We start from the raw sequence: 14,089 nt of genomic DNA, 5'->3' as shown, positions 1-14,089 counted from the left end.
TGCATTAATGTATTGATATCATTTTTGGTGCATTTATGTATTGATAAATTGTAATTACTTATATCTCATTACCAACATGAATTAAGACTTGACTTGGTTTTTACATCTTTGTAAAGTGATATAATTTTGAAATCAGAGACAATGATATGTTTTCCGTTTACTGTAAAACAATGAGCCTCAGAAGCTGTGGAGAAAGCTTTGAGAGATTTAAGAGTGATGAACAGAAATAAAGTCTGAAAAATTGCATCTAATTTCTTGCCACAAACATTTTATGAACTGGACACAACAGTTAGTTTTCCAAGTTTTAATATGGTGCTTTTAAGAAGAGAGCCACCGGTCTCAGCTTATAATTACATTTTCACAAATTAATCCAAAATTTTACGTATGAATAAAAAGGAGTAAAACAATACTTAAAAATGAAATTAAGAACTGATTTAATACTAAAGTTCTGAATAAAGGTGTGCATTTTATGATTGATTCTATCTTTTTGCACAAGTTGGATACTCCAGTTTCCCATCCCAACATGTTGTTCGCAATGTGTGAGAACGTGATGAAAGACGATATCCCCGTTTACACACAAATTCAGCTGATTCACCTGTTCTCAAATAAAGCTTCTGTTTGGCTGTCCACCTTAATGCTATGTTATAATTTTCCATAATTTCTCGGGATATTACACACGGATCTGAAAATAAAAAACAGTAAACATAAAACATTAAGTAGTATGCAAATCTTCATAGACTTTCAGGTTTTCAAGTAGAATGTTATATGATGGTTCAGGAATTATTTCTCAAAACACTGTCCAAACCGACTATGTAAAAACATCATATTGATTTAAATAAACTTAAAATGGTAATCGATGTGAAAATGAGGTTTTATGTTTAATGTATGAGAATTAGGGGTGTATTATCAATGATTCATTACATCAGTTGTCATTTTAGGATCCCTGCATTTTAGAACTTATCATTGCTGCTTTTGTTTGATTAAGATATTGGTCAAAGAGTACAAACTTTCAGCTATAATATGAATAAGAACTTGGAATCAAACATAGAGATCTAGTGATATTTAGAGCTAATAATATTGTATTGTTTATCTGAAAATTGGCAAGAAAGCAGATTTTAAGTGTCCTCACCACAAACACACACACACATACTCACACACCCACCTACACCCAATGCTAAGCATAGGTGATGAAGAATGTGCTAATTAATTTGTGGTAATCATTGTAGCATAAATATATCAAAACAGCATATTGTCAAACATGAAAGTATATTTTTATTTATCAACTAAATTCTTTAAAATAAAATATAAATATAAAGAGAAAAATTACTTTTTTGTGTTGTTTTTATTGAGACGGAGTCTCGCTCTGTCGCCCAGGCTGGAGTGCAGTGGCGCGAACTCGGCTCACTGCAAGCTCCGCCTCCCGGGTTCCCGCCATTTTCCTGCCTCAGACTCCCGACTAGCTGGGACTACAGGTGCCCGTCACCATGCCGGTTATTATTATTATTCTGTATTTTTAGTAGAGACGGGGTTTCACCATGTTAGCCAGGATGGTCTCAATCTCCTGACCTCGTGATCTGCCCGCCTCGGCCTCCCAAAGTGCTGGGATTACAGGTGTGAGCCACCACACCCAGCCCTAAAGAGAAAATTTCTAAACTTTACTTTCTAAAAGAAATTTTTGGTAGGCAGGCATTCAGCAGAATGGTTGTTCAATAATCTGTGATTATTTTGTTACCAACAGCAAAATATCAGACTCATCACACTGATTTTTCCAGCCACGTGAATATTAAAGTACTTACGTAAGCATTTTGGTGGTTCTGACCATTGTCCATTTCTACATGTTATTCGCTTGTTACCCTCAAGTTGATACAAGTTCTGGCATTGGTACTCAACTGATGAAGCTGGAGCATATACTGACAACGGGAATGAAGTAATGTCCCCATTGTCAATAGGTGGAGGGGGCCCACATTTTCCCGTAGAATCTAAAAAACATCATTTCATCACTTGATTTATTGTGAGAGCAAATCAAAATACAAGTTCAAATAAGGCAAATACAAACACAGCACTTTATATAATATCAACAGTTTTGTGATTTCTGGTAAAAGAAATGAGTCCTGGAAGAAATTTTAATCCTTTAAACTGAAAGTAATATATTTAAGTTCTTTTCTCCTTACTGAAGGAACACATAAAACATTAACAAATATTGCTGCTTATGGTAGATCAGGATTAAGAAATATCTTTCCGAATGAATACATGCTAAACATAGAAAACTATGACAAAGAAAGTTTCTTATTTCATATTCAACATTCTTTGGAGTAACACTAAGAGGACACGGGTTTTGAAATTGATGATGGTTCTTAAAAATCCCGTAGGAATTATAAAATGGAAAAGTATGATAAAAATTTTTTAAAAACACTGAATATACTTAATAATACATGGGGAGCTGACAGACAAATAAATCCATGAACTTGAACATACAGCAATATAAATTACCCACTCTGAAAATAGACTGAAAACAAAAAACTGAACTGAGACATTCAGAAAAATACAACAACAAATAATGCAGATGCAGAAAAAGAAGAGAAAGGATATTGGGCTGGAAAAATGAATAAATAAAAGGATACCTGAAAACTTCCCATTTTGACAATAAGGCATAAACTTATATTTAAGAAGCTGAGTGAACTCCAAAGAGGATAAAAACATTGGAATTTATACCAATATACATTAAAATAAAACTACTTTAAAAAAAGAAAAAAATACCTTGAAAGCAACTAGACAAAAACTATGCTTTTCCTTGAGGGGATCAACAATTCAAATGATGGTAAGTTTTTCATCTATAACCATGTGGCACAGTTTTCAAGTGTTCAAAGAACTGTCAACTCCAAATTTGATATCCAGTGACACGATCTTTTACAAGTAAAGGGGTAAATATAGACATTCTCAGAGAAAGGGAAACCAAGAGAATTTGTCTCCAGTAGACCTATGCCTAAAGATAACTAAAGGAATTCTTCAAATTAAAATAAAACAGATAAAAGAAAGAGCTTGAGACTTCAGGATCCTGAAAAAATAGAACGATATAATGGATAAAAAGAGGAGTCAATATAACACGATATCTTTTTCCTCATAAGTTTTTTCAATTATGTTTGATATTTGAAGCAAATGAGTTTAATATGGTGCTCAATGCATGCAGAGAAAATACGACTGGCATTTATACTTACAATGTGGAGAGTATAAATGGATCTACATGAAAGTAAGCTTTCCATATTCCAGTTGTTGATTTAAATGTCAGTGCCAGTAGACAGTAATATATTATTACATATATATAGTATTAGCTAGAGCAACAACTTTTTAAAAGGAGAAGAAAAGCTATGCAAAGAGATACAATGGAAAACAATACATATGAATCAAAATTAATCTCCTTAATAATTTTCCCTACAGGGAATGGAGGAATAGGGAAATAGGACTGAAACCCAGAGGGAACAGACAGAAACAAATAAATGACAGAGGTTTAAGTCCTATATATCAATAATTATGTTAAGTGTAATTGGTCCAAGTGCACCAGTTAACAGGCCATGAAAGGATGAATGGATATGTAAACATGACCCAACTATATGCTGTCTACAAAAACTCACTTCAATAATAAACATAGGTAGAGTCTAAGTAAAATAGTGAAAAAAAAAAAAAAACACAGGACAACATTAATTTTAAAACATAAAGGTAAGTAAGATACAATTTCCTTTTCTGGTTTCCCTTACTCCATCTCTATTTATTAGAATGACCCAGGACTATGTGCTCGGACTTCTTTTTATAAATACAGTCAGTCACACACCTTTAAATATAATCCATATACTGAAGATGCCCACATTTATATCACAGTCTATGATCTCTCTTCAACTGCCTATTCCATATCTTAGAATGCACATCACTTATGGCTGTCAAATGCACATAATGTATCTTTTATTACACGTATTCCTGAGAAGGAACTAAGTGTTGTGATGCTTAAAAAGTATTGTTTTTCAGGTTCCAACTCTTTTAATTTGGTCGAATCTTTCTCAAAAATAATACACCCTATTACTTGTGTTCTGTTCACAGGAAGAATTGAATTTTAAGCACCATCAATCATTTTATTTGCATTTGAAAAATCTATTAATAAAAATGACTTCATTTTGTTTAAATCAACATATTTTAACCCTGCTATACTCCCCCAAAATGTTAAAAGAAATATAATACTCTACCTTTGCATTGAGGTGGTTCTGTCCAGTTTCCATTTAAACACATCACTTCTTCATCCCCAAACATTTCATAAGGGCTCCTACATTCATAACGTACTCTCTCACCAGATGGATATTTACTCATCTGTCTCGACAGTATATGAGCATTTTGTACTGTGGGCGGATTCACACAGGAAGTGTCTGAGTAGAAAAAAAAGAAGTGGTTCCACCTAGTGTTCATTTTGAGTAGCAAATCAACTAATACAGTTACAAATATGTTTCAAGACGAATTTAAAATAAGTAGACAATCTCATCAAATATTTTGTTGATTTTAATAAATTTAAATGTAATATTGAAGAAAAGACATGAAACTATTTTTTGTCAGGTACAAGCTTTGATGTTTTAAATTTCTTCTTCATCCTTCGCTAGAACACTGATAGACCTTTATTTTTCCCTTCTGGAAGCCAGTGTAAACGAAAGTTTTCCTGGATATCTCTCTTTGAGTTTGAGTAAACAAATATTACCAGTTCTATTTATTTAACATTAATTTATAAAATGCAAAAAGTCAGCATAAATAGATTATGTGATACCAGATTTTTGTTTGCAATCATCCTGCTTATACATTTTAGCCTCTTAAAAATAAACACAAATAGGCATTTTCTTAGTGAATAAGCAAAGATTTAAAAACACATTTTGAAAATTACCCAAGTTAGTAGAGAAGAAGAATGGTTAATCAAAGGATCTAAATTGGAGATGTGGAAAAATAAAAGAAAATAAGTCTATAATAATAAAAATAACTTCAGATAATTTAATTGCCAATGATTAAGGATACTATGCTGAACAATGCAAAATTCATCAGAGAGTTTCAGGTCCATGTGTAGTGATAATAGACTATAGCAATGCTTCTCACACAGAAGTGTGCATAGAATTCCCTGGAGGGGTTGGTAAAACAGATTCAGGGTTCTATTTCGACATTTTTGATTCCGTGTGTCTAGAATGAGCTTATGGAATTGTATTTTCATTTCAAACAATCTCCAAGGAGATGATGATGCTACCGGTTTAGCGACCACACTTTGAGAACATTTGATTTATATAGGTAGGCAAACTATGTTATTCAACATCCACTTGGACACAATTGGAACTGAAAATCAAATGAATAAAGATAAAAGTATGTGGCAAAACCTATATTTAACCTGTAAAAAAGATTTATTTCTCTCAAACTTTATAATAGATAACAGCATATGAGAGAACAGCATTGTACTTACCAGTGGACCTGCATTTGGGAGGGGTGGACCAGCCCCGTTCTACACATGAAATGTTGTTCTCATTGTTTTGAAGTCTGTATCCTGTGTTGCAAATAATTTGCACAGTATCACCTTCCAGATGTGTTTGTCCTGAAGATTCAGAATGACCATTTTCCACAAAAGGAAAGAAACACAGTCCTAAGGACCAAAAACGGATTAATGTACAAGATGGAAGTAGCAAAGAAAAAGTACAACTGCATTTTAAAATATTTTAATAAACCGGGTGAAGTGGCTCACTCTGGTAATCTCTGCGCTTTGGGAGGCTGAGGCGAGTGGATCACTTGAGGCCAGGAGTTCGAGACCTGCCTGGCCAACATGGTGAAACCCTGTTTCTAGTAAAAATACAAAAATTAGCGGGCATAGTGGTGCGCACTTATAATTCCAGCTACTCTGGAGGCTGAGACAGGAGAATCACTTGAATCTAGAAGGCAGAGGTAGCAGTGAGTTGAGATGGCTCAAAAACAAAACAAAACAAACAAACGAACAAAAAAAATTAAAAAGGAAAGCTTTCAAAGCTGAAATCAAATATAAACACTTTCAAAAGAAGTTAACTCATGCTACTATATATATGATGAAACATATTTTTGGTTCTTTTATATGTATATATAGAAGAAAATATTTCATTTTCTTGCTCTATGGTTTTTATAATGAAATATTTTATGTTTGTCAACCTTTTAGGGACAAAAGAACCTCTTCATATATCTATTTCTCTCTTAACTCTCATAAATGTTTCTTAGGAGAAAGATCATTGCTATCTCCTTTGTTGCCTCATGTATCTGTCTCCCAATTTTTTTTTCTTTTAATACACCTGTTATCATTGGAGTCTGCTCTCTACATTTATTGGAGAATTAATATAGCTACACTGTGAAGGACCAAAGAAATTATTTATTGAAATATAAAAGTGAAAATGCTAAACCTCCTTTCAATATGCTAAAGAATGGTAAATTCAAAACAGAATATGTATAAAAATGACATTTAAAAGGAAAACTTTGATCAGGCTGCTGCGAAATGAATATTAGTAAAGAAATATTAGCAGTCAAATATATTAAAGATCAGTTTAAAAAAATTAATATATTTCAACACGTAGAGCATTTCCAGGTAACACAAGACAGTTGACATATTTATTCTTCATTGATTCTTATAGGAGGCATCTCAAAATAGGGGGACTACATCTCCCATCTTTCCAGCTTCTTTGGTCACTGTCCCTGTGATTATCAAGACCTTATGATCTTGTCTGGCATATCCTTCTCTATTCACTGAATGACATCCATTTAATGAACAGAGCATTTACTCACTGAGACACTTTGGTGTTGGTGACCATCCTTCTTCTGTGCATGTTATGCGAGTCCAAAATGATTTTGAAGGAGACACAAAATTATATTCACAGGAGTAATAGAAAACTTCCCCTGTAGGAACCTGGGAAAATGGCTTATATTTTTCTTCATCATATAGAATTCCATGGTTTATTTTTGGAAAATCACAAAATGTTGCTGGGAAAATAACATAAAACTGAAGAATTACATAATAAGTTACATAAATAAATCACTAGATTATATTTTAATCATCTCACTTATAGTGTTTTTCTTTCATTTAGCTTAAATGCCTTTAGCTTAAATGCTTTCCAGTGTACAAATTAGGAATGAAAAGCATCACTAACTAGGAGTACATGACTATTTGAGGAGGTAATTGTTAATGAATATAAAATTTATATTTTGGAGTGATATGAAATATGAACTCTCCTGCATTGTCTTCAAGAATAAAACCCACACACAACAATTTAAGAATGAAGACAGAGTGTAAGAGTAGCAAATCTTCCTGATCTACATAGTATACAGTAGAAAAGTGATAGGGTTGTTCTTAGCTCTCAATTTACTTATTTTCTCTATTCTCATTGACTGCCATAGGTGTCTCTGCCAGAAACTCTGTCCTATTTTTTTTTCTGGTGCAGTAAAGATGTTGGATATGTAGTTTTGTTTTTTGTTTATTAATATCATTTTGAATATTTTCTGGTTACAAAGTTAATATAGTTTCAGTGGAAATAATTTAGGGAATATAAGAAAATCACTAAGAACAACTCAATCAAGATAAAGTTAGAGCTAAATTCTGGTTAATGTTGTATATACAAATATGTATTTGTATATTTGTATTTATATATTTATACTTGTGAACACACACACACACGCACATATATATATATATATATATATATATATATATACAGTCAGCCCCACTCGTTTCACTTCGTCTGATTCAACCAACTGCAGATCAAAAATATTTGAAAAAAACAATAAAGATAATAAAACAATAAAAATAATGCAATTAAAGATACAATATAACAACTATTTTTACAGCATTTACATTGTATTAGGTATTATAAATACTCTAGAGATTCCTTAAATTGTATGAGAGGGCTGAGTGTGGTAGCTCATGCCTGTAATCCCAGCACTTTGGGAGGCTGAGGTGAGTGGGTCACTTGAGGTCAGGAATTTGAGACCAGCCTGGCCAACATGGTGAAACCCCATCTCTACTAAAAATACAAAAATTAGCCAGGTGTGGTGGTGCACGCCTGTGATCCCAGCTACCTGGGAGGCTGAGGCAGAAGAATCACTTGAACCCAGGAGGGGGAGGTTGCAGTGAGCGGAGATCATGCCACTAAACTCGAGCCTGGGGGCGACAGAGCAAGACTCCACCTCAAAAAAAATTAAAATAAAATAAAATAAATTGTATGGGAGGATATGCACAGGTTATGTACAAATACTACACCATTCTCTCTTAGACACTTGAGTATCCTTGGATTTTGGTATCTGCTGGGGGTGGGTAGCGTCCTGGAACCAATTCCTTGAGGATGCTAAAGGACTACTGTATATATGTATAAATACATCCATACACACTATGGTGCAAGATATATTAAAACAATGTAGAAAATGGGTGAAATCTTCATACTTTTTACTCTTTTTTTGTGTACACATACATATATATACACACATATTTTTTATTAGACTTTATACTTTATTTACAGGTTTTTCACAGCAAGATTGAGTGGAAGGTAGAGATTTCCTATATACCACTTCCTCTTCCCTACCACATGCATAAGCTCCCTCACTGTCAATATAATTACCACCCAAAGTTCATAGTTTATGTTGGGGTTCACTCTTGATGTTGTACGTTCTATGGGTTTGATATGCTTTATCTTTGAGTACGTATTTAGCTCAAGATATTTCCTCAATATAATACTGCTCTTTGTTTTTATGTCAAGATATTTTTGCAATATAGTACTGCTGCATAAGAAATAATTTTATTTTTCACCTTATTTGAAAGATGTGTGCAGAAATTAAGCTGACAAATCAAGAGAAATTTCTCTTTTTCATCTATCTAGAAGTAATGTTTAATGTTGCACAATATTTGAAATATTTTCACCTTGTGAAACCTGAAATTGATTATCTAACTGTTTAAAATTTGACATTAGATAGTTTTGGTAAAGGTGTTGAGGGAAAGACTCCCGTCTTGATAGTATTAACCTACCATAACTCTTTCAATTATCCTTCACTCCTCCAAAATTATAGTAGTTTATTTTCATACATTTGTACCTACATATTCTTTGCTATCCAGAATAACTTGGTTTTCATCAACCATTTATATTGTACCTATGCTTCAGAAAGAATTCTATGACATTCATCAAGTATTCATTGTGCATATCTGCAATGGTGCTAGCTAGGAGTGTTAATGTCTTCTTGCAAGCCTCCTTTACACAACCACCAATTTCAAAAGTAGAAAATAATTTTTATTGTCTCAATATTTTGATAGAATATTGTGAATACATTTCTTCTGGGATACACACACACACACACACACACACACACACACATATATATATATATATATACAGTCGTACAGTTATTCACCACATAATGACATTTTGGTCAATGACTGATCACTTATATGACAGTGGACCCATAAGATTATAGTGTAGCTGAAAAATTCCTATCACCTAATAGCCATCGTAACATTGCAGTGCAATATATTACTCACATATTTGTGGCAATGCCGGGGGTAAACAAACCTACAGCATTGCCAGTCACATAAAAATATGCCACACACAATTTTGTACAGTACGTAATACTTGATGATGATAATATAGAAGTGTTACTGGTTAATGTATTTCATATAGTATAATTGTTATTAGTATTTTATAGTTAACTTCTTCTATTGATTAAAAAAATTAACTGTAAAACAGTTAATGTTTCCTGAGGCAGGTCCTTCAGGAACTATTCTAGAAGAAACCTTTGTTATCATAGGAGAGGACAGCTCCATGCCTGTTACTGCCGTGAAGACCTTCCAGTGGGACAAGAGCGGGGGAAGAAGACAGTGATACTGATGATCCTGACTCTTTGTAGGCCGAGGTTAATGTGTGTGTTTGTGTCTGTTTTTAACAAAAAGGTTTAAAAAGTAAATAAATAAGTAAAATATTTAAAAGATAAAAGCTTATAGCACAAGAACAGAAAGAAAAAATCTTTTGTACATCTCTACAATGTTTTTTAAGCTAAATATTATCTCGAAAGACACAAAAATTAAAGTTGATGAAGTAAAAAGGTTAACATAAACTAAGGTTAATTTATTATCGAAGAAAAGTTTAAAATAAATTTAGTCTATCCTGGGTGCATCAAAAGCTCAGTAATTAGCACTGAAGAACTTATCCATGTAACCAAAAACCACCTGCTCCCCCAAAACTATTCAAGTAAATAAATAAATAAAATAAATTAGTTTAGCCTAAGTATACAGTGTTTATACCACCTCTAGTAGTGTATGGTGATGTTCTAAGCCATCACATTCACTCACCACTCATGTAATGACTTACTGAGAGTAACTTTCAGTCCTGCACACCCTATTCATGGTAAAAGCCCTATACAAGTCTGCCGTTTTTAATATTTTATACTGTATTTTTATTGTACTTTTCTATATTGAGATAAACATATACTTACAATTGTGCTACAGTTGCCCACAGTATTCAGTACAGTAACATGCTGTACAGGTTTGCAGCCTAGGAGCGACAGGCTATACCATATGGCCTAGTTACCTAGTAGGCTATAAAACCTAGGTTTGTGTAAGTCCACTCTATAATGTTTGAATAAGAAGGAAATCGCCTAAGGACGCACTTCTCAGAAAGTGTCCCTATCATTAAGTGATGCATGACTGTTTATACACACACACACACACACACACACACACTCACTCACAGTCACCTATATATAGCCTTGCAATTTATTTGCCTATTTACATTTTGCTTTTCTTTAGGACACTGTAAGTTGCAGTGAGGTGTGGTTAGGGTTGTCATTTTCTTCCAGCTTCTTTGCTACATGAAGCACAACATAGTGCTTGATAAATATTTTGCTACTGGAAGCATGCAGCTTTCTATGTATACAAATGTGTTGCTTCAGTGTGTTGTTTTTGCTGTTTGGCAGGTCTCTCAGTAGACACCTAAATGACAGTGTAACACACACTTACAGATCATTTAACATCTAGGCAACCTTTAGATAGAATTTCACTGAAGTTTCTCCCAGAGACTGGATTGAAGCTTGAACTTTTTTTTGGTGGGAGGAGGGTTAGGAATTGTCAAAATTCTACATATTTCTCTCATATTTTTCACTTATTTTCCTCTGCTACCCCCCTATTTAGAAATCCTCATGTAATGCCATGTGTAATAGGTGTATAAGCCACTTAATAAATACCATAAACACAGACTTAAGAAAAATCAAATACACTCATACAATCACACTCCTGTGATTACAACTCAGCACTAAAAGTGAAAACAAAATAAAACGAATTTCAAGGGCCAGGCGTGGTGGCTTATGCCTGCAATCCCAACACTGTGGGAGGCCGAGGCGGGCAGATCACCTGAGGTCGGGAGTTCGAGACCAGCCTGACCAACATGGAGAAACCCCATCTCTACTAAAAATACAAAATTAGCCAGGCGTCGTGGTGCATGCCTGTAATCCTAGCCACTTGGGAGGCTGACGCAGGAGAATTGCTTGAACCCAGGAGATGGAAGTTGTGGTGAGCCGAAATCACACCATTGCACTCCAGCCTGGGAAACAAGAGTGAAAGTCCATCTCAAAAAAAAATGAATTTCAAGCAATAGAAATAATATTTTGCAACATTTCTAAGGGCAAATATTTAAAGGAAAGCATGTTATTGTTCATGTTGTTCTGTTATGTCAGGACTGATGAGAAACTGTTCAAATAAAAGTTCAAAGGTCTGGAAACATTAGGAAACAGCCAAACAGTAAAGTAAAAACTTTTTGGAAATCAAAGGGTAAAGCATAATGATCGAAACTCCATGTACAGACATAGTTTAATTAGTATCCTAGACCTTGGTAGAGATTTTGTTTGCAATTCCTTTGATATGGTGGCCTTAATTTCAACATGAAATAAAATGGGACCGTTTATAAAATATCATAAGAAGCAGTTTGTAGTATTAATAAAGAGGTGATACATTACTTCATTCTCAACATTTAAGAGCTCAGAAGAAGCAATTTCTTGACAGTTCACTGGTTTATATATAAATGATATTTTCTATTGTTTCAGTAAAATATATTTCCCTCTGTTGAAGGATAATTCAATTGAAATGGGAATTCCTCCATTTTAATGACCTTTAAAATTTAAATGATCAAATCTAGGAAACTAAAATCCAAAAAGCATTTTGAAGGTGGCCAAATCTTTTTGAGATTGATTGTTCTAGTTAGTGGCATTGCAGAGTGTATGCAGAATTACACTAATACTTCACCTTGCCACCGTTAGTATAGCAGGTTTTCCCTCATTTAATTCCTCTTTACATTCTCTATTTGGTGGCCATTTACCTTTGCAACTTAGAGGATGGAGAGAACTAATTTTATTCTATTTTCCTGCTAATTGCATGTTAGAAAGTATTTCCATAAAATAGATTAATATTATAACTCATTTAAAATATTTTCATCCATTTATTCATTTAAAAATATGTAAGCATACACACAAAAACCGATAAATGTATCTGAAAAAGGAACTAAATATTCAGGTCTGTTTTGAACTTACCTTCTCCCCCAACAGAGGATATCCGTGAGATTAGAATTACACTGACCAGGAGCCACATGCTTGGTAGTTCCAATCTTATATAACTAAAAATACTTCAGTGGTGGTGGTGTTGCTTTGAATCTGCTTTCATTAACAGTTATGAGCATGACTTTGAATTTCAGTGTACTAACTGGAAGCTAGTTTAGTAAAGTCCTTTGTGGTAAACATCAAAGTTCATGGAGGGTTGTGCAAAATAAGCAAATAGTGTCTAATCAGTGTTTTCACAATAATACTCTGAGTTTATCATGTAATATTAACTTGAGCAAAATAAAAGCTGTTCAATTTCCTTGTTGTGGTCCCTGAGTCTCTGAGTTTGGAATATTCAGAAATGGGCCATTGAAGAGGAAAGAGGAAGCCCCTTCTTTTTTCTAGCCAAGAGTTCAGCTACATCAGTAGGCAAGCAAGTGAAGGTGATCAGTCCTCATCTTAACATAACAGCATCACTGTTCTAGTTATAAATTCCACTTAAAACTGGTATTAAGAATGAGGTAACTTCAGACCATCCTGGCTAACATGGTGAAACCCCATCTCTACTGAAAATACAAAAATTAGCTGGGCGTGGTGGTAGGTGCCTGTAGTCCCAGCTACTTGGGAGGCTGAGGCAGGAGAATGGCGTGAACTCGGGAGGCGGAGTTCGCAGTGAGCTGAGATCGCACCACTCCCCTCCAGCCAGGGTGACAGAGCGAGACTCCGTCTCAAAAAAAAAAAAAAAAAAAAAAGAATGAGGTAACTTCTTAATAGTTTTCATATTTTTAGACTATAAAAAGTCAAATCAAGAATAATTTTTGGTATGTAATGGTTCCCAAAATTGTTGAACAAATTTTACTTCAAAATAATTTTGTTCTGATGGGACTTTGAGAATGGGTATTTCTGGGTCTTGGTATATTCACTCACCACCAAAAGGCAGCAATAAAACTGGATAAAATTATAAAAATAATCTCTAGAAATTGGCCAAAGAGCATACTGTTGGGAAATATTTATTCCAGAAAGTCCACATAAATCTCAGTAAAAAAGAGTGGATGCTTTTATCCACCTTTGTCTCACAGCTCAGTTCTGTGGCTCAGAAGTTGAACCCTGGGTAGGCAAGCAGTCTGTGTGGACTGGAAACTCTGCTGCTCCACTGGAGGGGAGTGACTTTATAGCGTGGAAAATTCCCTGCCCAAGGATCCTATTGAATATAAAGAGGTTACAGTGGGAAGCAAGTAGAGAAGATTAGTATGTGTAGAGGATATTAGCTGGGGCAAGCAACAAAGTGGCCAGTCAGTCAAAAATTTAATGGCAAAATTTGGAGAAAGGGACAGCCTAAGGACTTCCACTAAGATGAAACTTACTGATGGTGGTTCAGAAGTCAATGGGAATGCATATAGCTATGTTCAATCAAGAAACCAGAGAAGTCTCTGTGAGCTACTAGTCTCCACTATTGATTCTAGTCTATCTAAACCTTATCATTTCCAATTAAACTACCTAAATTATC

The 14,089-nt window shown here is 34.2% G+C and overlaps 1 protein-coding gene across 8 annotated transcripts; it reads right to left on the bottom strand.

The window, feature by feature from the left end:
* CFHR1 (complement factor H related 1) lies at window positions 290–12,748 on the bottom strand. 8 transcript variants are annotated; one of them, NM_002113.3, is made up of 6 exons: window positions 12,577–12,748; window positions 6,808–7,002; window positions 5,474–5,650; window positions 4,233–4,409; window positions 1,797–1,979; window positions 290–682 (listed from the first exon to the last, which is right to left on the bottom strand). In NM_002113.3, exons 1-6 carry the CDS (start codon window positions 12,632–12,634, stop codon window positions 480–482), a joined length of 993 nt encoding a protein of 330 aa, NP_002104.2. In that variant the 5' UTR covers window positions 12,635–12,748; the 3' UTR covers window positions 290–479. The 8 variants fall into 8 exon arrangements, with proteins under 8 accessions (NP_002104.2, NP_001366235.1, NP_001366236.1 ...); NM_001379306.1 differs by having other exon boundaries at window positions 6,808–6,951; NM_001379307.1 differs by having other exon boundaries at window positions 6,808–6,840.

Source organism: Homo sapiens, chromosome 1, assembly GCF_000001405.40.
Source record: "Homo sapiens chromosome 1, GRCh38.p14 Primary Assembly".
Taxonomy (NCBI): domain Eukaryota; kingdom Metazoa; phylum Chordata; class Mammalia; order Primates; family Hominidae; genus Homo; species Homo sapiens.
Note: the sequence above shows the minus strand (reverse complement) of the source record. Positions and strands in the feature narration are given on the sequence as shown.

Excerpts from the sequence above, each read along its gene's own strand:
- CFHR1 (NM_002113.3), bottom strand. The coding sequence starts at position 12,634 with ATGTGGCTCCTGGTCAGTGTAATTCTAATCTCACGGATATCCTCTGTT. Across the intron at positions 7,003-12,576 it reads ATCCTCTGTTGGGGGAGAAG|CAACATTTTGTGATTTTCCA; the intron begins GTAAGTTCAAAA and ends TTATTTTCCCAG. Across the intron at positions 4,410-5,473 it reads TCCCAAATGCAGGTCCACTG|ACACTTCCTGTGTGAATCCG; the intron begins GTAAGTACAATG and ends TTTTCTACTCAG.